This window comes from Homo sapiens, chromosome 7 (genome assembly GCF_000001405.40).
Source record: "Homo sapiens chromosome 7, GRCh38.p14 Primary Assembly".
Classification (NCBI taxonomy): domain Eukaryota; kingdom Metazoa; phylum Chordata; class Mammalia; order Primates; family Hominidae; genus Homo; species Homo sapiens.
The window spans coordinates 158,911,787-158,937,690 of NC_000007.14; the positions used below are offsets into that span (position 1 = coordinate 158,911,787).

Genomic DNA, 25,904 nt, shown 5'->3' on the forward strand with positions numbered 1-25,904 from the left:
CTGTGAAGGATACAAGCTTAGGGAAAATGGGGACCCATCTTCACATGGGGCCCATTCACCCGAGAGGCCGGGCACAGGCAAAGCCGGAGGCACTCCAGAGCCTTCAGGAGCTCTGGTGGGTGATCTGCTCGGAATGGGGACAGAATGGCTGCTGTCCTGACCTTGGAGTGAAGCTTTATGCTGTGCAAATGTTTTATTTATTTATTTAGAGACAGTCTCACTCTGTCGCCCAGGCCAGAGTGCAGTGGAGTGATCTTGGCTCACTGCAAACTCCACCTCCTGGGTTCAAGTGATTCTCGTGCCTCAGCCTGCCTTACCTGCCTGTCTGTTCCTCAGTGTCCAAGGCCTGTTTTCTGGGTGAACCCTTCCTAGTGACTTACAATGAATTCTTTCTCCTATTCCAGAGTTCCTACAATTTACTATTTCATGCAATTTTGTACTTCCCTGTAGTATTTCCAATCATTAATTCATTATGTGATGGTCTCACTTCACAACAAGGTTCTAAAGATTTTGAAGTCAGACGTCTTATCTAACATTTTTCTTACATTCCTGTTACTGGTACCACCAATCTTAACATTGTCTAGTTGGTACACTCAATAAAATCCTTTTAAAAGGAGGAAGGTCACGGGATGAAGCTGAAGAAGCTGATGGCTTTTACAATTTTTAAATTTTTAAATTTTTTTTAAGAGACAGGGTCTTGCTCTGCCACCCAGGCTGGATGGAGTGCAGTAGCAAGATCATATCTCACTGTAGCCTTGAACTCCTCGGACACTGACAATATTAATCCTGGTTTTGCAGCTGATTCACTCTGACCTTAAGTAGATTATTTATCTTTGGTGGTTTTCCTCATCATAAAGCTGTTAGTAACAAAACTGATTTCACTGAAGCATGTACCTTTTGAAATATATATGTAGTTTTGCAAAACCAGCATGTCCTAAGAAAATAGGGTGTGGGCAGGTGAGGTGGCAGTATTTTCAGACTAAAGGGAAATCGTTTGGTGAGACTTTTTGAACACACTTTTGAAAATTAGACCTGTATATATCTATATCGAACGTTTAAGCACAGGTTGTCTTTGCATGATTGTTCTTTATGCTTTGATACTTACTTTTGACACAGTGACTCTCATTATTATTTCAGTAATGACAGATTGCTCCGAAATTGAAACCAATGTTAATTTTGGCATATTTTTGTTTTTAAGGCATATGTTCAGTGTAACGAAGATAATGTTGAAAGAGACATTCAAACGGAGGAAATAGAGACCAGGGAAGTGTGGACCCAGCACCCGGGAGAAAGTACTGTTGTATCTGGAGGTAACATCTTGCTCTTGAGTGTTGACCATTGACTCTCTTTACATTCTTTTTTGTTTTATTTTTACTTATTCCCTTTCTGGTTCACTTTCATTTTGTCTTTCTCTTCTGTATGGTTGTTAGCATGTGACAATAGCAGTACCCAATTTTCTTTTAAAGAAACGCTAACCAGCAGCCACAGAGCTGCTGAACTACAAGTGGGAGGAAACCTGCTCTCGAGGCCCAGTCTGTGCCATTGCCAGGATTTATGACAGATTTTATTCCTGTGTAGAGGGAGAGATTCCACATTCCAAACAACCACTGTGTCGCTGGACCTTTGAAGCACACTGTGTTTTTAACTTAGGGGAAGCCTATTCTCATGAATATAGAATTTTTATGTTTCAAGTGCAGTTTGCAAAAATGTTCCATCAATTTATATCGAAGGTCCCTAGAATATATGGTTTCTGCTAAGTACTCTGGAGCGATTTACATGTTGAATACTTTACTGGTTTTTCTCAAGGAATTGCCTCTGTATGGCAGGGATGTATATTACTCCCTTTTCTCAGGTAAGCCTCACCTTAAGAAAGTAATATACCTAAACTTAAGACTTACATGATAATTAAATTGATGCCTTTGAAAAAAAATTTTTTTTTTGAGATGGAGCCTTGCTCTGTCACCCAGGCTGGAGTGCAGTGGCATGATCTCAGCTCACTGTAACCTCCGCCTCTTGGGTTCAAGTGATTCTCCTGCCTCAGCCTCCCGAGTAGCTGGGACTACAAGCGCCTGCTATCATGCCTGGCTAATTTTTGTATTTTTTAGTAGAGATGGGGTTTCGCCATGTTGGCCAGGCTGGTCTTGAACTCCTGACCTCAGATGATCCACCTGCCTCGGCCACCCAAAGTGCTGGGATTACAGGCGTGAGCCACCATGCCTGGCCTGAATGTTTTTCTAAATGCATTTACAGACTTCTATAAAACAATATGCAGTTGTTTTGGGGAGTTAACAGTAGTAAATCTAGAGAGTATAGCTTGAAGTTTTCTGTCTTTTCCTTCTGGGACTCTTAATGTTGATTTGTTAGGCCTGTTTGAACTCTTAAGATGTGTAATGCATGATTATTTTAGAGTCGACTTCGTTGATTTTATATAAACTGTTTTTTTTAGGCAGTGAACAAAGAGATACCTCTGATGCTGTAGTTATGCCAAAGATTGATACTCCAAGGTTATGTAGCTTTCTGCGGGCTGCTTGTCAGGTATACTCAACCTATATATGTTGTGTTCTCTGTGTAAGTGCTTAAAGTTTCATTCTACATAGAAACATAGGAGCTTTTAAGATCTTAAAGTCTTTGTAGCTTGGATAAATCAGAATCAGTTATTCATTTTCAAGTATTATTTTCTTACAAATTATCAGTGGTACATTCATTAAGCCCTTGTGGGCAGAATGACCCTGGGTAAATGTATATCACTGAAGTACTATGTGTGTATTTGGATTGTGAATTTTATTATTAATTTCTTACATTTTAAAACAACTATAGACTAGCAGACACGAAGTTGGCAAGGCAAGCATAAATCTAGGGTATTTGAAAATATTAAACTTCTGATTTTACAAGCTGATTTATAAACTGAAAAATTTTAAAAATCCATACAAAGAGACATGGAACAGTCCTGTGAAGCTACAGGTACTTTAGTGGTTATCACCTCATGGCTGTGGGTCTCGTCTGACCCCCCTGCCCACTCCACCACCCACCCCATCAGTTATTTTGAAACAAATCCCAATCATCTAACTTTGCCTCCAAATACAGTTCAGTATGAATCTCAAAAAGCAGAGAATGTCTAAAAGAGTAATTAGTAATAACTTATAATGCAGTCAGATATGAAGTTGGCATTCACATTTCGCCAGCTGTCTCATCACTTTCTTGTATGTAAGCTCAGCACTTGAGTCTACTGCAGCACTGAAGAGTGGAACGTTGTGAAACCTCAACACGCTAGTTGAGATTAAGGATGATTGTGAAACCTCGACATGCTGGTTGACATTAAGGATGATTGTAAAACCTTGACACGCTGGTTGAGATTAAGGATGATTGTGAAATGTCAACACGCTGGTTGACAGGATGATTGTGAAACCTCGACACGCTGGTTGACATTAAGGATGACTGTGAAACATCGACATGCTGGTTGACATTAAGAATGATTGTGAAACCTCGACACGGTGGTTGAGATTAAGGATGATTGTGAAACCTGGACACGCTGGTTGACATTAAGGATGATTGTGAAACGTCGACACGCTGGTTGACATTAAGGATGATTGTGAAACGTCGACATGCTGGTTGACATTAAGGATGATTGTGAAACGTCGACACGCTGGTTGAGATTAAGGATGATTGTGAAACGTCGACACGCTGGTTGACATTAAGGATGATTGTGAAACCTCGACACGGTGGTTGAGATAAAGGATGATGGTGAAACCTCGACACGGTGGTTGAGATTAAGGATGATTGTGAAACCTCGACACGCTGGTTGAGATTAAGGATGATTGTGAAACATCGACACGCTGGTTGACAGGATGATTGTGAAACCTCGACACGGTGGTTGACATTAAGGATGATTGTGAAACGTCGACACGCTGGTTGACATTAAGGATGATTGTGAAACGTCGACACGCTGGTTGACATTAAGGATGATTGTGAAACGTCTACACGCTGGTTGAGATTAAGGATGATTGTGAAACGTCGACACGCTGGTTGACATTAAGGATGATTGTGAAACGTCAACACGCTGGTTGACATTAAGGATGATTGTGAAACGTCGACACGCTGGTTGAGATTAAGGATGATTGTGAAACGTCGACACGCTGGTTGACATTAAGGATGATTGTGAAACGTTGACACAGTGGTTGACATTAAGGATGATTGTGAAACGTCGACACGCTGGTTGACATTAAGGATGATTGTGAAACGTCTACACGCTGGTTGAGATTAAGGATGATTGTGAAACGTTGACACGCTGGTTGAGATTAAGGATTGTGAAACGTCGACACGCTGGTTGACATTAAGGATGATTGTGAAACGTCGACATGGTGGTTGACATTAAGGATGATTGTGAAACGTCGACACGCTGGTTGACATTAAGGATGATTGTGAAACGTCTACACGCTGGTTGACATTAAGGATGATTGTGAAACGTCTACACGCTGGTTGACATTTAGGATGATTGTGAAACCTCGACACGGTGGTTGAGATTAAGGATGATTGTGAAACGTCTACACGCTGGTTGACATTAAGGATGATTGTGAAACGTCGACACGCTGGTTGACATTAAGGATGATTGTGAAACGTCGACACGCTGGTTGACATTAAGGATGATTGTGAAACGTCGACACGCTGGTTGACATTTAGGATGATTGTGAAACGTCTACATGCTGGTTGACATTAAGGATGATTGTGAAACGTCTACACGCTGGTTGACATTAAGGATGATTGTGAAACGTCGACACGCTGGTTGACATTAAGGATGATTGTGAAACGTCGACACGCTGGTTGACATTAAGGATGATTGTGAAACGTCTACACGCTGGTTGACATTTAGGGTGATTGTGAAACCTCGACACGGTGGTTGAGATTAAGGATGATTGTGAAACGTCTGCACGCTGGTTGACATTAAGGATGATTGTGAAACGTCTACACGCTGGTTGACATTAAGGATGATTGTGAAACGTCGACACGCTGGTTGACATTAAGGATGATTGTGAAACGTCGACACGCTGGTTGACATTAAGGATGATTGTGAAACGTCTACACGCTGGTTGACATTTAGGATGATTGTGAAACCTCGACACGGTGGTTGAGATTAAGGATGATTGTGAAACGTCTACACGCTGGTTGACATTAAGGATGATTGTGAAACGTCTACACGCTGGTTGACATTAAGGATGATTGTGAAACGTCGACACGCTGGTTGACATTAAGGATGATTGTGAAACGTCGACACGCTGGTTGACATTAAGGATGATTGTGAAACGTCTACACGCTGGTTGACATTAAGGATGATTGTGAAACCTCGACACGCTGGTTGAGATTAAGGATGATTGTGAAATGTTGACACGTGGTTGACATTAAGGATGATTGTGAAACGTCGACACGCTGGTTGAGATTAAGGATGATTGTGAAATGTTGACACGCTCGTTGACATTAAGGATGATTGTGAAACGTCGACATGCTGGTTGAAATTAAGGATGATTGTGAGACGTCACTAAACACCCCCTGCCCTCCACACTCCACCCTCCACCTCTCACTAAACACCTCCTGTCCTCCACACTCCACCCTCTGCCTCTCACTAAACACCTCCTGTCCTCCACACTCCACCCTCCGCCTCTCGCTAAACACCTCCTGTCCTCCACACTCCACCCTCCACCTCTCACTAAACACCTCCTGTCCTCCACACTCCACCCTCTGCCTCTCACTAAACACCTCCTGTCCTCCACACTCCACCCTCCGCCTCTCGCTAAACACCCCCTGCCCTCCACACTCCACCCTCCACCTCTCACTAAACACCTCCTGTCCTCCACACTCCACCCTCCGCCTCTCGCTAAACACCCCCTGCCCTCCACACTCCACCCTCCACCTCTCACTAAACACCCCCTGCCCTCCACACTCCACCCTCTGCCTCTCACTAAACACTCCTTTTCTTGCCCGTTCCCATCCTGTCATTTCTCACTTCAAATCTCCTGCCTTCCACACTCTCTTCCTGTCAGTTCTCATTAACATTTTCTTCCTTCTTCACACCCATCCTGTCAGTCCTCACTACACATTCCCTTTCTCACACGAATCCTATCAATTCTCACTCAACATTTCCTGTCTCTCACTCTCCCGTTCTGTCAGTTCACATGAAACATTCTCTGCCTTCCTCACTCCCATACGGTTGGCTTTCACTGTCTGTTTCTGCCTTCCTCACTCTCACACAGTCAGCTCTCACTCAACATTTCCTGCCTCCCGCCCTCCCATATTCTGTCACTTCTCACTCAGTATTCCCGGCCGTCCTGACCCTGAGTGTTCCCGGGTCATGTCAGTTCCCAATGAACACTTCCTGGCCTCCATTCTCACTACGCAGCTCCCTCTTCCTCGCACAAATCCTGTTGCTTCTCATTCAACACTCTCTGCCTTCCTCACTTTCCTTGTGTTAGTTCTCAGGAACATTTCCAGTTCTTTTTCCATCAATCCTGTTTTGTCTCCCAATCTTCTCTTTCTGCCCTGTCAAATCCTAAGGATGACCCTCCTGGAACAATGACAGTGTTTTACCACTCACTCTGGCTTTTTACCAAAACCCAGTGAGAGAGACTCGGTGGGTTCATGACTGCTCTTTACACTGCTTTGTTCATTTATGAATGCTGGATACCCAGCCCCCTTTCTCCCACTGTGATTTTTAGCAGTGTATGTGGTGTGAAAAACAACATTCAGGGCAAATGATGATTCTCCTGTGGAGTTTTAGTTAATCTTACTGTATTAGTTTTCAGTATTGAGCAGAAAGGACCGTATCGTTTTTCTTGTAGTTATGATAGCGTCATGGATCTAAGCAGTTATTTGCAGATATGGATAAGATGAAAAGGTAATTTTTTTTTGGAAAAGATAATCCATTGTGAAGTTTTTATTAAAGACTACTCACTTATGTCTGACAGGTGATGGCCGTTTTGCTGGAAGAGGATCGCTTGGCAGCTGAACCCAGCTGGAATCTTAGGGCTCAAGACAGGGCCCTGTATTTTAGTGACAGCTCATCTCAGCTGAACACCAGTCTACCATTCCTTCAAAGTAAGAGGCTGTTCTCAAATATGATTTTAAATCCAGTGACTAAACATTCATGTTGAAATAATACTCTGTAGTATAATATTTTATTTTAATGTGATGGGGTTTAATGTACATAAAACTGAGAAAGACTGAGTTTCTGCAGAATTCAAAAGTGAGTGGTTTTTCCCTCTTAAGTGTGCATGTTAAATTTGTGATTAAGGATTTTAGTAAGATGAATAGAAGAGGGATCCACAGTAATTTAAACATGTGAGATTGTTTGAATGAATGGGAACTGAGATTTTCTATGTGTTTGAAATCCTGTTTTCTTTTCTCTTCCAGTTATTCAGTTTCTTTTCTTGAGATAGAGTAGTAGAAATAGTTGGACGAGCATGAGAGAGTGTTCAGATCAAAGTTGTGTTAATAGTTTAGATATAGTTACAAGCAAGACGCTTAACATTTAGTGTAGATAGACTTAGATTTTTAGGTCAATCCGTGGTTATGGAACATAAAACGGGAAGCAAAGCCCAGGATCTCAAACAGAAAGTACAGTTGCATGTAACTGTTTAATCAGTTCAGACAAACTGCATTTGCAAGACCAAACTGAAATTTCTTGAGCTAGTAACCTCTTTGTCTCTGAAAAAGTGGCTGTCGGGTACCGGAGGGCAGCCATGGTCCCGGTTTTTGTGGAGAACCAGCAGAGGTGGTCCGTGTGGCCGTCTGCTTGGTAGCAGGTGCGGGTGTGCTGCAGGGTAAACGTGCTTCGGGGCACGTGTGAGACCAGAGCAGTTGGTGCCACTGTTCCAGGCATTTCTTCCGTCCTGCCTGCTATTTAGAGATTTCAGTTTATTTACATTTCTCTGTCTTTTAACGTTAACAAAAATGGCATTGTTAATTTAACAAGTCTTCACATTCTTTGAGAGGGTTTTGTCTTTTCCTGTTAGAAAAATAATAAATCTCTGTACCTGTATCATTCAACACATTGGCATCCACACTCCCACACCCAGCAGACACCAAGAAGGGAACCGAGTGTGCGCCGCCCCCAGGGAGCCGACACTGAGCAGTGACAGCAGATGCATGAGAGCGGCAGTGGTGCCATGGCCTCCGTCGGAGAACACGTGAAGTGTGTGTGTGTACTGCAGCGCTGTGGCCTCCGTCGGAGAACACGTGAAGTGTGTGTGTGTACCACAGCGTGTGGCCTCCAACGGGGAACACGTGAAGTGTGTGTGTGTATGGCAGCGCCGGGCCTCCGTCGGGGAACACGTGAAGTGTGTGTGTGTACCACAGCGTGTGGCCTCCGTCAGAGAACATGTGAAGTGTGTGTGTGTACCACAGCATGTGGCCTCCGTCGGGGAACACGTGAAGTGTGTGCGCATACTGCAGCGCCGGGCCTCCATCAGGGAACACATGAAGTGTGTGTGTGTACCACAGCGTGTGGCCTCCATCGGGGAACACGTGAAGTGTGTGTGCATACTGCAGCGCCGGGCCTCCATCAGGGAACACATGAAGTGTGTGTGTGTACCACAGCGTGTGGCCTCCGTCGGGGAACACGTGAAGTGCGTGTGTGTACCACAGTGTGTGGCCTCCATCTGGGAACACGTGAAGTATGTGTGCATACTGCAGCGCCAGGCCTCCATCAGGGAACACATGAAGTGTGTGTGTGTACTGAAGTGTGTGGCCTCTGTTGGGGAACTCGTGAAGTGTATGTGTGTACTTCAGTGCGTGGCCTCTGTCGGGGAACACGTGAAGTGCATGTGTGTACTGCAGTGTGTGGCCTCCGTTGGGGAACTCGTGAAGTGTGTGTGTGTTGCACTTCCCACATGTTCAAGGAGTGGAGGGTCTTGTTTGCTTAGTTTTGTGTTCTGGTAAAATGAATATTGAGATAGCAGAAGGAATATGAGACTGCAAGAGAGGCATGAGACGGAGTGTGTGGGTTGTCTCACCCTGCGAATCCAGAATTTGACTCACATTAGATTCTGATCTGTGATCAGATGTAGAGATACTTCAGCCTTCCTAGGGTCCACCCAGTACCCTCATCACTATTAAAACACGCGGCAGAATGACACAGCCAGCGGGTCGTCCTCATCTCTATTAAAACACGCGGCAGAATGACGCAGCCAGCAGGTCGTTCATCTTGACAAATGTTCTGTAGCGGGTGCTATGCCCTGGGCACTGTCGGGGAGCTGCAGTTCAGCAGTGAGTAGGACGACAGCAACTCTGCCCTCCTGAACTTGTGTTTCGCTGGGTCAAGTAGGCTCTGCACTGGCTAAACAGGTCAACACACAGTCTATCAGAGAGGGGTAAGTTCTAAGGAGAAAAATAAAGACAGTTCTGATAGAGGAGGCCTCACTGTGAGTGAAAACCGGACGGAGATGAGAGACGGGCCACAGGGAGATGGGAGCTTCTGGAGGAGGCGCTGCACGCACACAGGTCTGAGCGGTGGGCACACCTGTGTCTTGGGTAGAAGCGAGGAGACCACGGTGGACAGTGGGAGGTGAGGTCGGGGCAGCGATGGGTCAGGCGTTGGTTGCCATATCATAGTTCCGCTGTAACAGGAGGTACACGTTCCTAAAAATCGCTACACCGTGGAAGACTGCCAATAAAAACCACAGGGCTTAGGAGAAAACGGGGTCAGGTCACAGCACTCGAGAACCTCATCCCACTAAAAACAACTATTAAATACGGCAGCTGGAAGAAGACCTGACGCTTGCTGGTGGAAGTGGCCCCAGAAGGCTGCAGCTATGAGCGATTGTGACGAGGTGGAAGGAGGGTTCCCTGGAATTGGAGGGGACGTTGTGACCCAAGCATGGATGGTGTGGGTAGCAGGATGTGAACTGAGGGGCTGATAGGTGTTTGTGGTGTGTGTGTGGCTGGGGTTGGCCGGGTGCTGCTTTCCACATTGACTTGGCGCCTGCCAGCGGTGCGGTCCAGTTCTTTGACTGAAGTTCTCGCCAGTCATGGACTTCCTATCCTCCTGTTTCACGAGCTCCATCTCCATCTTCTGCTGATGTGTGAGAGCTGCCGGCACGGCCAGCAGTGGCAACAGTAACGCCTTGGAGTGCAGTCCCTCGCCGGGTGGAGCAGTGTCTGGAACGGCGCTCAGCCGCTCGCAGCCTTTGAGGAGAGCAGTGTGCCACGTGGTGTTCCAGTGCTGAAGCCCCTGCAGCTGGTGTATTAGCAATGTTCTAAAGCAGAGGGGCAGCCAGGCGCACTGCATTACCTCCCAGCTCTGAGATCCCGACTCCCGGCTTCTGGTGGGCAGCTGGTTTCTGTGGGAGTCGCTCGTGGAGCCACAGGTGTCTTGGGCTGCATGTGACCACATTTTAGCCAGACTCTGAGGTCAGCTTGGACAGAGTGTTGGGGCATAGGCTGTGGCCGTTCATCAAAACCTACGTTTCATGTATGTTGGTTTCGAAAGGACCACGTTTGTTTCTTCATGAAGCTGAATTTTTTTTTGAGTATTCGGAAGTGTGTTAAATTTAACTTGGATTCTGGCAGGTCGTTGAAATGTGAACATATTTTTCTTCTCCCTAGATCGAAAAGTATCCTCCTTGCACACCTCCCGAGTTCAGAGGCAGATGGTGGTCTCCGTTCACGACTTACCCGAGAAGAGCTTTGTGCCCCTGCTGGACAGCAAATACGTCCTCTGTGTGTGGGATATTTGGCAGCCTTCAGGGCCACAGAAAGTTCTGATATGTGAGTCCCAGGTACAGCTCAGGATGAGAGTCGCACGTTTGATGGGAGGATGGGCAGTGGACAGAGCGTGAAGGTGCAGGTGGGGAGAGTCACGGAGAGAGGTGCAGGGACAGGAGGTGGGTAGGGACTTATGGGCCATTCTCTGTCTCTCACAGCTGGCCTCAGCTGTGCTGTGGGTGCAGCGAGACACATGGGTGTGCTTGTAGTTCAGAATGAGCAAACGAGAATTTTCACAGAGCAGCCCTTTGGGTCAGCTGAGAATTAGGAAATGGAGGTGGTTGTAGGCTGAATGAAAATACTCACCATGCTGGGTGTAGCTCTGGGGCCCTAGATGCCTGTGTTTTTGCCTTGCACTGTTTTGGTCCTGAGTGTTTTAGAGGTTTCTTAGACTGCGTGGAGGTTTCTTAGACTGCATGGAGGTTTCTTCAACTGCACTGAGGTTTCTTAGACTGTGTTGAAGTGTGCTGTCGCTCACAGCCCTTCTGGAGGCCTCCCATTCACCGCCCAGGAGGCTGGCACCGAGGCTTGAGGACTGTGCGGTGAGGGGTCAGGGCTGCCTCTCTTATGTTTGGGAAAATGTGCATTTGTATTTTCCTAGTTATGTATTCCCTGGCCTCAAACCCATTGATTTCCACAAAAGCTGTAGAGAAGAATAACTTGAAATTGTAACTTTTGTAATACAAGATGTAAATAAAATGGCGCAGGATGGAACTGCTACTTCTGAGGTTCAGCCGATTGAGCTGAGTGGACAGGCTCCCGGCAGGCTTTGTGTGACCAGATGAGTGTCAGCACCTTGCGTTTGTGATCATAACAAGCCTACGGGGTGGGTTTCTCATCCCTATTCTCCATTTCAGGAACCTGACAAGCCACCTTTTATTTCTGTGCAGGAGTCTACGTTCTGCTTACTGGGCCCTGCAGGTGACTCCCGTGCAAAGTGAAACATGGTCAGACACCCCACTCAGTAAATGCAGCTTGTGTTAGCATGCTTCTCATATTCTTCTGTCATTGGCTTTCTGTGCCTTTGTCTTTTAGGTCACGTGTTGCTGCTTGAGCCCTTTGAAAGCATTTTTACTGTTTGCCGGAACAGCGCACGGCTCAGTTGTCGTCTGGGATTTGAGAGAAGACTCAAGGCTGCATTACTCTGTGACGCTGAGCGATGGCTTCTGGACGTTCCGGACCGCCACGTTTTCCACCGGTCAGTGTCATCTGCCTGCCAATTGTGTGTCTGCTAGAAAAGCCACACGGATTTGAGGAACAAAGCTTTACATGGATTTGCATTTATTTATTCACATTATCCCAGAGGACGGGGTCTGACCCATGGGCAAAAGAGGCATTTGATAAATACAAAAAACAGAAATCAATTCCAATCATGATTATCCAGTGACCAAGAATGACTTGAATTTCCTTTCTTAATAAATTTGTGGATTCTAAAAAATCCTCAATGAAATTACCTTTAGTTTTAAAGTAGCTTGAGGCATCTTGGCATGGGTGTTCTTCAGGGCAAAGATAGCTCACACTCACGTGAGCAAAGCCAGTCACCCTGAGGGCTGCCAGGAACCAGCACAATTGGGCCTCCCTGAGCCTTGGCTTGACTCGGGTGGACATTCATACTATGCCGTGCCCAGCCACCACAGTAGGCACCTGGCATAAGTGTTCCCTGTGTTCTGGGACTCGCCCTAGTGTGTAGTGTACATTGTCTCATTTAATTCCCCTGATAGCCCTGTATCCTAGCTCCACAGGAAGATGCCGCGTTTATCCAAGGTCACGCTGACGACATGGTCGGGCCTGCACTGGGACCCCATGCCACGCCCTGCACCGCCCCTTCCCGTAGGGGTTGGGGCGCTGTGGACTGAAGGTGCAGGCCGAGGTCATCACTCACCCCTCTGTGTGGCTTTATTATCATAGATATGTTGCGTGTCTGTCTGTGTTTGACATGTGTATCTGTACATTGTACATAAGAGGGCCACTTTTTAAATTCCCCAACCATGAATTGTGCCCCTCTGTGTGGGGCAATACTACTACTTACTGTTAAGGCTGTTTGAATTTATCGCAACTTATGGGTTGCGATGCTATTTTAAAAGATATCTTTTAAATAAATAATCTTTGCCTTTTCTAACTGCTGCTGCTATTACTAAAAAATTTTTGAATTCAGCACCGTTTTCAAAAACAGTAAATCTCTAGACTGTACATACAAATAAATTATTCCATTAAAATACATCCTTCTTTTTTTTTTTGAGATGTGGTCTGGCTCTGTAGCCCAGGCTGGAGTACAGTGGCACGATCTTAGCTCACTGGAATTTCTGCCTCCTGGATTCAAGTGATTCTCCTGCTTCAGACTCCTGAGTATCTGGGATTACAGGTGCCCACCACCAGTGCTCGGCTAATTTCTGTATTTTTAGTAGAGACGGGGTTTCTCCATGTTGGTCAGGCTGGTCTTGAACTCCTGACTTCAGGTGATCTGCCCTCCTTGGCCTCCCAAAGCGCTGGGATTACAGGCATAAGCCACCGCACCCGGCCTTGTCTTTGAAATATTATCAATAAAACCTACAAAGTTTTAAATAAACTCCCAGTAGTGAGGAGCTGTGGAACTTCTGATTCAGACCATGAGTCAGAGGAACCAAATTCTCACCCGGGAGACCAGCCCTTTCCTCAGTCGAGCCATCAGTGCTTCATCTGGGTCCTCTCACTTAGACACCCTGTAATTTATTCTTAATTTCTGAGATGGTTTTGTCTTTTTCTTCAGTTTCTTTCCTGAGTTCAATCCCAGTTCTCATTTCATTTCTTGCTTTTTTGGGTCTAATTCTGTTCTTGATTTCTGATTCCCGGTGTTTTTTCTTGCTTGTTGTTTTGATATGTTTCCAGATGCCCTTTGAGGAGATGTGATTCCATTTGGAACGTTGAGTTTTGTGTCTTCTGCCTTTTGCTTGTTTTTAGGAGGGATAATTTTCATCAGCTGAAATGCTTTCATTTACATTTTTTCTGTTTTCTTCTTATAGTAGCTTTCTATGGAGTTTGGCGTTTTTCTACTTGTAGACATTCTGTAGGTGTATATTTTAGGTCAGTGAGCTTTGCTTTATTGATTGGCGACAGGTATCTTTTCAGTGGGCATTGTGCCTCGAGGTGGTAGGTGGGGTGGGTTTGCCTTTCCTTTGGTTTTGCAAATGCCTGGATTTTGCTCTTGCTGGCAGTTGTGAGGTGTGTGCGGAGGTCTCCCCCATTTCCTGTTCACGTCCCCCTTCCCATCGGCCGTGCTGCTCCGACCTCCTCTGCCTCCCAGCTCCTTCCCCTCAGTTGTTTGAGTGGCCCCCAGGATTTGGCCTCGCAGAGACTTTCTCTGTCTGAGTTTTCTTTCGGGCTGTGTGGCATGCTCTGTTTGGATGGTGGGCTTTAGCTTTCTTCCTGCCTTCCAGACTGGAGAGCAGGGGCTGGGGCCCGTGTGTCCTAGGAATCTGAAAGTCGTGGTCCTGTGTCAGTTGTGTGTGTCAGTCGTGTGTGGTCCATGTTGGTTTTGGGGTGTTTTGGGAAGATGTGTGGAGAGAGTTGGATCTGTGAGACCCAGAAGCACCTCGTGTTTGTCCCTGTGTGATGCGAACTGCATTTCTTCAACTTACTACTTACACGTGGATGCTGTGGGCTTTTGAACTCCAGATGGAATCCTTACCTCAGTAAACCACCGAAGCCCTCTTCAAGCAGTAGAACCTATCTCAACGTCCGTCCACAAAAAGCAGAGCTTTGTGCTTTCACCCTTTTCTACTCAAGAAGGTACGTGATTCTTCACTTTCTTAAAATCCTTCATCAATGGTTGTGAAATATGGTTTCCTTATTTAAAGCCATTTCTTTCTTTTTGTTTCTGTCTTCATCAGAAATGTCAGGTTTGTCCTTCCACATCGCTTCCTTGGATGAGAGTGGGGTTCTCAATGTATGGGTGAGTAGTGGCCCAGGCCGGGCACATGCGGGGCCTGAGTGAGGTGGTCTGGGTGGAGGTGGCGCCTGAATGGCGCAGGGGGCGGGACCCAGTTAGCTGTGGTGGGAAACGGAGAGCAAGACTGGGCTTCTTGGTCCTGAGCAGAAGGGATGCAGAAGGCCACACATGGCAGGTTTGGGGCCCTTTCGTGACAGTGAAATAGGGACTCTCACACAGGGCTTTGGGAACGCGGAATGAAAGTGAGAAGGGAACAAAATGTTAGGGCTGAGGTGATGCTGGATTGGCTTGTCCTGGAGGATGCGCCAAGACTGTTGATTAAGTCACCAAGTGAAGAGAACACGAGGAGATCAAAGCAAAGGAGTCAACTTGTAGAGTGTTAGTTCTGAGGCTAAAGATCAGTCTCTTTTTCTGGAGCAGTTATGTTTTAGTACCTAAATAGCACTCCATCTTAATTAGAGCTATGCTTTGCTTAGGTTGTTTCATAATTATAAAATGTATCAATATTCATTTTCAATATTCTGTTTTTAGGTGGTTGTTGAATTACCAAAGGCAGACATCGCAGGTTCAATAAGTGATTTAGGTAACTATTAAGTAAAAAAATTAATTTTAGTGTTTTCTAAAATGAATCGAGATTAAAAGTACTGATAACTGCGGTCAGGTGCAGTGGCTCACACCTGCTGGGAGCCTCAGCACGTTGGGAGGCTGAGGAAGGAGGATTGCTTGAGCCCAGGAGTTCCAGACCAGCCTGGACAACATAGCAAGACCCCGTCTCTACAAAAAAATTCAAAAATTGGCTGGGCGTGGTGGCACACACCTGTAGTCCCAACTGCTTGGGAGGCTAAGGTGGGAGGATTGCTTGAGCCTAGGAGTTTGAGGCTGCAGTGAGCCGTGATCATGCCACTACACTCCAGCCTGGGTGATGGAATGAGACCTTGTCTCTCTGTTAAAAAAAAAAAAAAGATACCAATAACTGCTTTGAAAAATATAAATTACTACCTGAAAAATGAAAATTAAAGGTGTATGTCATATAACCTTATAAACTGTTGAACGGGCATCTCAATTAACTAGAATAATCAAATGATATTCTGAATGAATTTTTTTTTTTTTTGAGACAGAGTCCCGCTCTGTTGCCCAGGCTGCTGCAGTGGTGTGATCTTGGCTCACTGCAACCTCTGCCTCCTGGGTTCAAGCAATTCTCTTGCCTCAACCTCCCAAGTAGCTGGGATTACAGGTGCTTGCCAACACGCCCGGCTAATTTTTGTATTTTTAGTAGAGACAGGGTTTCACCATGTTGGTCAGGCTGGTCTTGAACTCCTGACTTGAGGTCATCCACCCACCTCAGCCTCCCATAGTGCTGGGATTACAGGCATGAGCCACCGTCCAGCCTGAGTGAATGTTTTGATCTTAGTAGGGTTTAATGAGTTCTGTTTACAGCTGAGTACCATTCAGTTCTGTCAGACAAGTCAAGGACAGCTGTGTTCTGTAGCTGTTCCCTATGTATTTCAGGTGTCCGAGTCTTTCAGTGCGCATTCATTTTGGGGCTTCTTCCTCTCAGTTTTGGATTTACAACCCCAGGGTGTATCAGGAACACTGGATGCTGCCCCGAGGGCCCTTAGACTGGATCCCAGGGTGGCAAAGGTCCCCGGGTTTGGGCAGAGCAGAAGTGACTTGAAGCAAAGCTAATAGCACCTCTCACAGGTGGCTGCTCTTGATGCTATGGAGTACGATTTTCAGTTCCAGAAAGGGCTCAGAAGTGACGGAGTAATTCAGTCCTGTTGTGTTCTGTGGTTGAGATTAGCCCATGTTTTGATCTCAACTTCTTTCTCACCTCATTGGCCTCCCACAACCCAGTTTGTAATGACAAACCCCCCTTTCACCTTGCTTGAATCAGGGGTGTTTTCCCATGTAGATCTGGCAAAAAATAATATGAGTGAGACCGGCTTTGTTCCTAACCTCTTGAGATGAGGGAAGAGGCCACTTTGGCCCTTGGAGCAAATGCTCTGTGCCCCGTAGTCACACGTCTGTGGTGGCCCTTACAAGTTTACTGTTGATTCTGACTTCAGTAAAAATAAGACAGTCGTGGTGCTCATTTCACTGCTAAATGCTTTTGAGGTGGAGTCACCATGTTTCTCAATGTATTCTTTATGCGGCACCCTCTCTGCTCATGGAGCCGTTCTGCTCTGTGTTGTCCACTCCAGGCTGCCCCTAGAATCCTGGAGTGTCAGAGCTAGGGAGCCTGGGCAGGGGTCCTGGTGCCTCCTTCTCAACGTACACAGGTCACGGGATGGGTTAGTGATGGGGCGAGACCCACATAGTCAGTCTCAGCACCAACCCCCCTTCACACCCAGGATTCCGCCCCAAATGCCCAGAACTCTTGTGACCTTAAGAGTGCGCCTTGAGGCTGGTTGTGCCGTTAACTTGTTACATGATCAAGGTATTTGTCAAGCAATTACGGATGGTACTGAGATCATTTCTGTCCATAGTCAGGTGATAATCCGGCTATGGAGACAAAATCATTTTGCATAAAAAGTATTTGCATACAAATGTTTTGTAGTACATGATGGTCATATAAAGGATATCCTGGGGTGGTGAGTATTTCATTTTAAAATATTGATGTATAAAAACACCCTTTCTTCACTGAACCACTTACCCAAATTGCAACCATGTTCCAGCCTTGCCTTTAGGAAGGGAGGACGTTCCGACCAGCCCGTTGTTCAGGGTGGCTGCCAGCTCTTTGTGTAGGCATTGGATGAGTTGCTGTTGGAGAGCTGAAGTCTCAGAAGGAGTCAGCCACCATCTTTTTATGAAATGTTCTCTGCATAAGCGAGGTCCAGTCCTAGGTGCCAGGAGACCTGGGCGAAGACCCCAGCCCGGGAGAGGGCGAGTGGTGGTGGACTTACTGGAGCGGAGGCGCAGTGGGAAGGCCTGGCCAGAAAGGCTGCCCGTGGGCGGTGGCGTGTAGGGGCCCAGTCGGAAAGGGCCTGGCCAGAAAGGCTGCCTGTGGGCTATGGCGTGTAGGGGCCAGTGGGAGGACCCGGCCAGAAAAGCTGCCCACAGGCGGTGGCGTGGGAGCCGAGACGCCAGGTGGGGGGCATGCCGGGAAGCTTCACATTTGTGAATAGTGGCGTTGACCCTTCTTCACTGTGGTTGTGACTGGCAGGAGATACGCAGCAGCTACAGGGACCCTGCCCAGCTGCAGGTTGGGCTTATTTCTATCTCCTTTTAATTCACCTGCCCCCAGAGTTTTAGGCAATGCCTTGCCCAGAATTTGGGTTTTAATATCCATAGATTTCTAGTTTTTCCCCTTGTAGTAGTTTTAGAGGGAAAGTGATATTGGGAGCAGACACAGGAGGCAAAACCAGTGGGTGGCCGAGGAGCCAGCGCTGTAGCCATGAACGCTTTCAGGAAGGAAAGGAAGAGCAGTCAGGCCTCAGAGCCGTGGCTCTGTGTTGTTTGAGAAGGAAGCTGGAGAAGCTGCTGGAACAGAGAGTGAGGCCAGACGCACTCGGCTGAGGAGCCACTCTGCCTCCTGTGCATTCTGCCCGGAGACCAGCAGATTTCTGAGTCTCTGGGATGGTGGAGAGAGAGGTCCTGCAAGTTTCCTGTAGGCGTTGGAGCCTCGGTGGACATTCACAGGACAGCGTTTGCTGCTGTGATCTAAGGCTTATTTAGTGTATGTACACTCGTACACATGTATGGTTTGCTTACCCCCCTTATTTTATCAGATCTAATGATATAAAGGCTCCCAGATCATGGTTCTACAATCTTTCTTCCCATAAGACTTTGAACTGTGAATTCTCGATTCTTCTCCTAAGGCAGGATACGTGAACCTCACCCAGAGGAAGGGAGGGATGCTGTGTATTGATTTGCATTTGATGTTATTTCCTAACACAGATATTTAAGCAATGAAAAATGATTCCAGGCAACTATAACTAGATTTTGATTTAGCTTCTATTGAAAGGTGCATTGATTTTGGTTCATCTCTTTTTAGGTCTGATGCCTGGAGGGAGGGTCAAGCTGGTACATAGTGCTCTGATCCAGTTGGGTGACAGGTAAGATGTGAGGGAAAATGCTTCACTATCTCACAAAGACCTAGAAGGAAAATAACATTGGGGAATTGCATATACGGTAAATGGTGAGCTTTTGCGATGAAGAAGTCCATTTTCTCACATTGTTTTTTTACTGTTTTGTTAGTCTATTATTTTTATTTTTTTATTTTTTTGAGACGGAGTTTCACTCTTGTTGCCCCGGCTGGAGTGCAGTGGTGCAATCTTGGCTTGCTGCAAACTCTGCCTCCCTGGTTCAAGCGATTCTCCTGTTCAGCCTTCTGAGTAGCTGGGATTACAGGCGCCTGCCACCGTGCCCGGCTAATTTTTGTATTTTTAGTAGAGATGGGGTTTCATCATATTGATCAGGCTGGTCTCGAACACCTGATCTCAGGTGATCCACCCACCTCAGCCTCCCAAAGTGCTGGGATTACAGGTGTGAGCCCCCACGCCCGGCCTTGTTAGTCTGTTATTAATGAGTGAATGTAATAAATGCAGCTTCCAGGTGTAGAGCTAACATTTTGTCATTAAGTAGAGGTTATTTTCTTTTAAATTGGTCTTACTTAACTATTCTTCAGTTCTCATGCAACCCTGAGGTTAAACTTAAAGTTTCAGGAACCAGAAACATTGATAAAAAGTTTTATTCAGAGATTTAGATTTATGCTTTTACTCATATAACTTAATATGACATAAAAAGTCTTCACAAATGTACAAATATTATTTGTGGTATTTATATGTTTTATGTTAATTTATTTCCTAAAGTATCTTTTCTTGTCATTTACTGCACTCAGGGGTCAAAATTTTGGGGTCTGGTTCTTCCTAATCAGAAAACCTGTGGGTTGTGTTAATGAATTCATGCATGCTTGGAGACTTTAAATCAACTACAGTTGTAATTAGTAATTACAACTAATTATGAAAGAGAATCAATTATATTTTAAAAAGTCATTTACTGTATTGCAGAGCCAAACATACATGGTTCCTGGGCAAGCCCCTGACCCCTCCAGCCTCTACAGTTCCCCCACTGAGTTTCTTTACGACTTTTTATCTCTGCTAGGGCCCTTATTGCTTTATATGGTGCATTGTATTTATCTTTAACTATCAGCTTCTCCTGTACTTAACTACACACACACTCTTTGAAGGAAAGTGTCTAATCTGTCCGCTGTTTGGGTTTTTTCTTACCCAAAAACTCCTAGCAGTGTCTTCCTGAGATCCATGCATAATAAATGTTCCCTCAGACTCTGCTCAACCAACCATGTTGAGCTTATTCTACGTGCTAGGCTTTGTAGCACTAGTGGGGAGCATCCTCCGTCAAGGTGCTCCGAGAAGGAGGCGGATGAGTAAACATTACGTGATTGCAGGGGGCGCTCCCTGCTTTCCCAGGAAGAAGGCTCTGCAGTGGAGTTCAGAGTGAGGATGTTTCTTAAGGAGTTCCTTGGGCTTACTGCCTGGGAAAGGGCCGGGAGGAGGCAGAATGGGGCCGAGAGGAGGAGCTGAGCTGTGAGGCAGGTCCCACGGCCAACTCCCCAGGGCCCAGGAGTTGTGAGCTGGAATGGCCTCCCAGAATCACGTGGCTGGGACTTTGTACCCCGCATCCCATCAGTCACTGAGCATGAGTGTCCCCAGGAGGACATTGCCTGCAGGGAAGCAGGTCCTGCAGCTCTGTCTGCACCGCCCCTGCAGCGAGGCCCCGTCCCTCAGGGTTGTCGTGCAGAGGACGAAGTGTGCTGTCAGGATGTGCACAAGGCTTGTGGGAGCTCAAAGGATGGGGGCAGCTTGGGGGATGGAGTGCAGTGGGGACATCTTGAGGAGGCAAAGACTGAGCCAGGCCTTTGAGGTGGAGTTAGATGGTCAGAGGGAGCAGAACCTGGGGGTGCCCAGAGGCACATTTGGAGCTGTCAGTGGGTCCGATGTTGAGGGAGGCAGGTGAGCCAGGCCCTAACGAGTCTGTCTGCCGTGCTAAAGGGTGTGGACATTAGCATAAAGGTGGTCACGAGCTGTCAGTGGGTCTGATGGTGAGGGAGGCAGGTGAGTCAGGCCCTAACGAGTCTGTCTGCCGTGCTAAAGGGTGTGGACATTAGCATAAAGGTGGTCAGGAGCCATTGCAGCACGTTGAGCCGAGGAGCAGCACATCTTGTCTGTGATGTAGATGGGTCAGTGTGGCAGTGGCGTAAGTTGGGAACAGAGGAAGGGAGGCTGGAGTCAGGGAGAGCAGTTAGGAGGCTTCTGGAGTGACTGACATGAACAACCAGGATCTGAACAAAGGCAGCAATTACAGGTACAGAGGGCTGGACACAGGCTAAAGGGGTAGAACTTAAAAAACCCAGGAGCTCATCAATTATAGGAGCAGTGGGAGGGAGGAGCCTAGGTTGGCCTCTGCCTCCACCAGCATGTCTGGTTGGTGACTGGGCACCACTTGCCAGGCGAGGATAGGAGCAGGGAGGGTTGGGAGCAGCCCAGTGTGTTCCAGTGAGGACAGGCTGAGCTTGTGGTGCCTGTGGAGATGCCCAGGAGCTAGGGGCCTCCATAGCAGAAACCCCAGATGGAGGTAAGGATTTGGGAGTCGTCAACCAAGAGGTGGCATTTGCAGTCCTGAATGTGGACAGAAAGAGAAAATTGGAAAGGAGGCTGATAGCATGGCCACATGCTGACTTTGATGATGTGGGTGTGGCAGATGGAGCAACTGTGGGCATCTCTCTGTTACAAATACATAGGCCATATAAAGGAAAAAATAAAACTAAGTATAGTTTTTAAAAGGAAAGGAAAATCTCTAAATGCCATAAACAGGAGAGAGCTTAAAGTTAGTGTCATAAGCTTTTGAGCTGCTATGTGATGGCTTGGAGGCTGGGTGTGAAGCCCAGGCTGTCTCAGACCTTCTGAGCTGTCTCTGGGGCTTGAGCCCCATGCAGAACCAGGCGACGCATTGGGTTTGCCTGAGGCAAGGAGGTAGAACTGAGACCCCTGCACAGGACTCTGGAACTCACTGCTCCTGCAGTGATAGGGAAATTCAGAAAGCCGCACCACAGCCAAGGGAAGACAGAGGAGCTTGGAAGAGCTTGAAATCCTAAGCTGAGTGGGTGTGTGGGAACCCACAAGCTGAGATGTTAGCATCACAGTTCTAGACCAGTGGCCTCAGTGGGTTCATAGTTAAAGTAGACGCAAAACCCCCTGGTGGGTAAAGATATGTTTGCAAATTGGGGCTCACAGGTTTCTTATGAGAAGCAGTCTGCTGCAGATGAGCTCACAACTACAAGCATGAAGAAATAGTCTACCTTGGTGCAAAAAGTAGGAGTCACACACTAAGAACTTGAGACAGTTGTACAATCTAAAAGAAATTTCTAGAAATGAAACTGTTATCTCTGAAATTTACAACCAAGTGAATGGTTACATAGCAGATTAGATATAGCTGAAGAAAGAATTAGGGAACAGAAGGATAACTCTGAAAAAATTATCAAGAGTGTAGTAGCAGAAGAAAATAGAAACAGAGTGGCTAAACCCACAGAGGAATGTGACATGGCCTGTTATACATCGATGTATTGTAGTGCAAATCAGTGTTAATACCATCATTATTCTTAAGGTTGGAAACAGTCCATCTGTTCATTTTGTTACTTTATTTTTTCAGTCTTTCCCATAAAGGTAATGAATTTTGGGGCACTACACAAACACTGAATGTTAAATTTCTGCCTTCAGATCCTAATCACTTTATTATTGGCACAGACATGGTGAGTAGTATTTTAAATTTAATCCTATTACTCATTCTCCTTGTTTTCCTGACTTACCTGATAAATATCTTGATTTAGGATTAACTTACTCTTTTCTTTATAAAGTTTAAATTGTTTGAGGAACAGTAGCTGTATCCAATCTCGTGTGTAATGCACTCGTTCAGTCACTCTTGGGCTTCTTCTTCACAGGGTCTCATAAGCCATGGCACAAGACAAGATTTGAGAGTGGCTCCCAAACTATTCAAACCTCAGCAACATGGTATAAGACCAGTGAAAGTTAATGTCATTGATTTTTCACCATTTGGAGAACCAATATTTTTGGTAAGAAAGTTTGTTTTTCAGAGCTCCAATTCTTCTTTTTTTGTTTTTTGAGACAGGGTCTTGCTCTGTCACCCAAGCTGGAGTGCAGTGATGTGGTCATAGCTCACTGCAGCCTTGAACTCCTGGGCTCAAATGACCCTCCCACCTCAGCCTCCCGAGTAGCTGGGACCTGTACAGGTGCATGCCACTATGCCTGGCTAATTTAAAAAATGTATTTTTTTGTAGAGACGAGGTCTCCCTGTGTTGCCTAGGCTTGCCAGTTCTTTTTAGTGATACTCTTTGCCTGTTTGGGCAGCATAACACTTGCAGTGATCCATTGGAAAATTTTAAAAGTTAATCATTTACTAGAGCACAAATTGGTCATTTATGGGGCGTCAGTGGTTTAAAAAGGAGAAACATGAAATTAATAACAAATTTTAAAAACAAAACCTATGTAGAAATTAAACTCTCGAGTAATACTTGGTTCAATTACAAACTAGTTAGAATTTAACAGAAGAATATGAAATACCAAAACCTATGATACAGCCAAAAATGTGAAGAAATTCTTAGTGTGAGGATTTTTGCCTGTGTTCTTTTACTGTTTAACACAATAGAAATTAATGTTCAGAGTCTTGAACCTGAAAGTCCAGGGATGGCCGTCGGGCAGGCAGCAGTCCCTGCGCTGCACTCATGCTGCAGGAAATGTGTGTGTGGGTGCGAGCTGCTTGCTGTCTTCCCCTCCAGGGCCTGGTGTCAGCCCAGCTCACCCTAGTCACAGTTGTCCTGTAGACTCCAAGGTCAGTTTATGGGTTGGTTTGGGTAAGATAGGACAGAAGGCAAAATATTAAACAACTTTATACGTGATTAAATGTGATAGTTAACAAGAATTATATGACAGTCAAGGCATTAAGTTATAACTCAGATATCCCCTTCTCTCACTAGTGTTTACAAATTTCCGTGTACTTGAGATTGAGGGGAAAGATTGTTATTTATTCACACTACTCTTATAGTACTTAAAACATTATAAATTATGTTTATATGTCAGTCACATAAACTAAGGTTGCTGAGGGCAGAGATGGTATTTCATGTATCTTTGTATTTCCAAAGACTGCATTTGAGCTGCTGAGTAATGTCCCCCTGTGGCTGTTGGGAGCCTGGAATGTGGTCAGGCAAGGCTGGGATGTGCTGGAGGTGTGAAATACACACCAAATTTTGAAGAATTAGTGTGAATAAAAGAATGTAAAATGTCTCTTTAGGCTGGGTGCTGTGGCTCACGCCTGTAATCCCAGCACTTTGGGAGGCTGAGGTGGGCAGATCACCTGAGGTCGGGAGTTCAAGACCAGCCTGACCAACATGGAGAAGCCCCATCTCTACTAAAAATACAAAGTTATCTGGGCACGGTGGCCCAAATCCCAGCACTTCGGGCATCCCAGGCAGGTGGGTCACCTGAGGTAGGGGTTCAAAACCATGCTGGCCAACATGGCAAAACTCCGTCTCTACTAAAAACATAAAATTAGCCTGGCGTGGTGACACATGCCTGTAATCCCAGCTACTTGGGAGGCTGAGGCAAGAGAATCGCTTTAACCCAGGAGTCAGAGGTTGTGATGAGCCGAGATAGTGCCATTGCACTCAGCCTGGGCAACAAAAGCAAAACTCCGTCTCAAAACAAAAACAAAAAAAGTCTCATTAATAATTTTGTTGTTGGTGATTTCCAGTGTGGAGCTCTTGAGCTTTTTTTGGCTTCTCTCCCCACAAAAAACCAAAACCAAATACATAGCACCAAGATCTTCACCAATAAGAACTTAGAACTCAATTGTGAAGATAAGACAGTTCCTGGGGCCACAGAGAGTAGAAAAGCTCCAAGCAGATGGGAGGAGAACTGGGCTTCCATATCCACAATGTCCCTTCCCCCTTATTTGGCCTGGCACCAAGTGCATGGAAAATCTCCCCTTAACTCATGGTTTGTGAAAGTAAAATTGAGGTGGACAACCAGTTTTTCTACTTTCTTGGGTGCCCTGTCCCTGCCTCAGCCCATGGGGAGCATCCCGAGTGCCTGAAGGAAGAAATACCCCTGAGGACACCCAGAAACAAAGCTGGGAGGCAGGACTACTGTCTGCAGCCCTGAAAATTCTGCACCTCAGCCAAAGGAGGCACTCAATCAGAGTGGCCGCTCATAGCACCATGCTCCAGGAGGTTTATTCCACAGGTCTTCTGAACACAAACCCTGACACAGGCAGGGAGACTTCCCTTTGAGACTTCCCTCATTTGGGACAGGCCTCCCTCAATCACTAAATACAGCCAAAGTGAACCTCGTCTTAAGGTGACACCTATAGCTGAAAAGGAGGCAGCAACCTAGCAGAGAAGATTTGCTAAGTAAATATATTCAATAAAAACCAAAACAAGCTGGACAGAGAAAACTGGAATAAATAACTAATCCTGCAATGCAAAGACACAGACATACACCCACAAGAAACAGCAGCAAACAGGGAATCATGACCTCCCCAGAAGGACAAAGCAAAAATCCAGTGACTGACCTAATGAGGCAGTGATTTGTGAGCTCTCTGACCAAGAGTTCAGAAGAGCAATTTTAAGGAAACTCTGTGATCTCCAAGACAACACAGAAAAGCAATTCAGAAATTTATCAGAGAAATTTAACAAAGAGATTGAAATAATTTAAAAAATCAAACAAATCTTGGAACTGAGAAACATATTTGCTGGACTGCAGAAATTCATTATAGGCTGTCAGCAGCAGAGTGGATCAAGTAGAGGAATGAATAGGTGAGATCAAAACAGGCTATTAGAAAATACACAATCAATGCTGGGCGCGGTGGCTCACGCCTATAATCCCAGCACTTTGGGAGGCCGAGGCGGGTGGATCACGAGGTCAGGAGATCGAGAGCATCCTGGCTGACACGGTGAAACCCCATCTGTACTAAAAATACAAAAAATTAGCCTGGCGTGGTGGCGGGCGCCTGTAGTCCCAGCTACTTGGGAGGCTAAGGCAGGAGAATGGTGTGAACCTGGGAGGCAGAGCTTGCAGTGAGCTGAGATTGTGGGCACTCCAGCCTGGGTGACAGGGTGAGACTGTCTCAAGAAAAAAAAAAAAAGACACAAGGCTGGGTGCAGTGGCCCATGCCTGTAATCCCAGCATTTGGGAGGCCA

The 25,904-nt window shown here is 46.0% G+C and overlaps 1 protein-coding gene across 29 annotated transcripts in view; it reads left to right on the plus strand.

Annotated features, from left to right (window-relative positions):
- The window catches only part of DYNC2I1 (dynein 2 intermediate chain 1), a 119,454-nt gene that overhangs the window by 72,542 nt on the left and 21,008 nt on the right, over positions 1-25,904 (plus strand). For 24 of the 29 annotated variants that reach the window (XR_007060058.1, XR_007060061.1, XR_007060060.1 and 21 more), the window contains 11 exons: positions 1,199-1,310; positions 2,447-2,535; positions 6,954-7,083; positions 10,591-10,763; positions 11,785-11,947; positions 14,401-14,514; positions 14,616-14,677; positions 15,206-15,257; positions 18,669-18,729; positions 22,343-22,442; positions 22,632-22,763. Coding sequence is in view for 21 of the 29 variants with exons in the window: in XM_047420560.1 (XP_047276516.1) it covers positions 1,199-1,310; positions 2,447-2,535; positions 6,954-7,083; positions 10,591-10,763; positions 11,785-11,947; positions 14,401-14,514; positions 14,616-14,677; positions 15,206-15,257; positions 18,669-18,729; positions 22,343-22,442; positions 22,632-22,763 (1,188 nt within the window). In the remaining 8 variants the exon portion in view is untranslated. Of the gene's footprint in view, positions 1-1,198; positions 1,311-2,446; positions 2,536-6,953; positions 7,084-10,590; positions 10,764-11,784; positions 11,948-14,400; positions 14,515-14,615; positions 14,678-15,205; positions 15,258-18,668; positions 18,730-22,342; positions 22,443-22,631; positions 22,764-25,904 lie in introns of those variants that run through there. The other 5 variants (XM_017012382.2, XM_047420558.1, XM_047420559.1 and 2 more) reach the window with 3 other exon arrangements.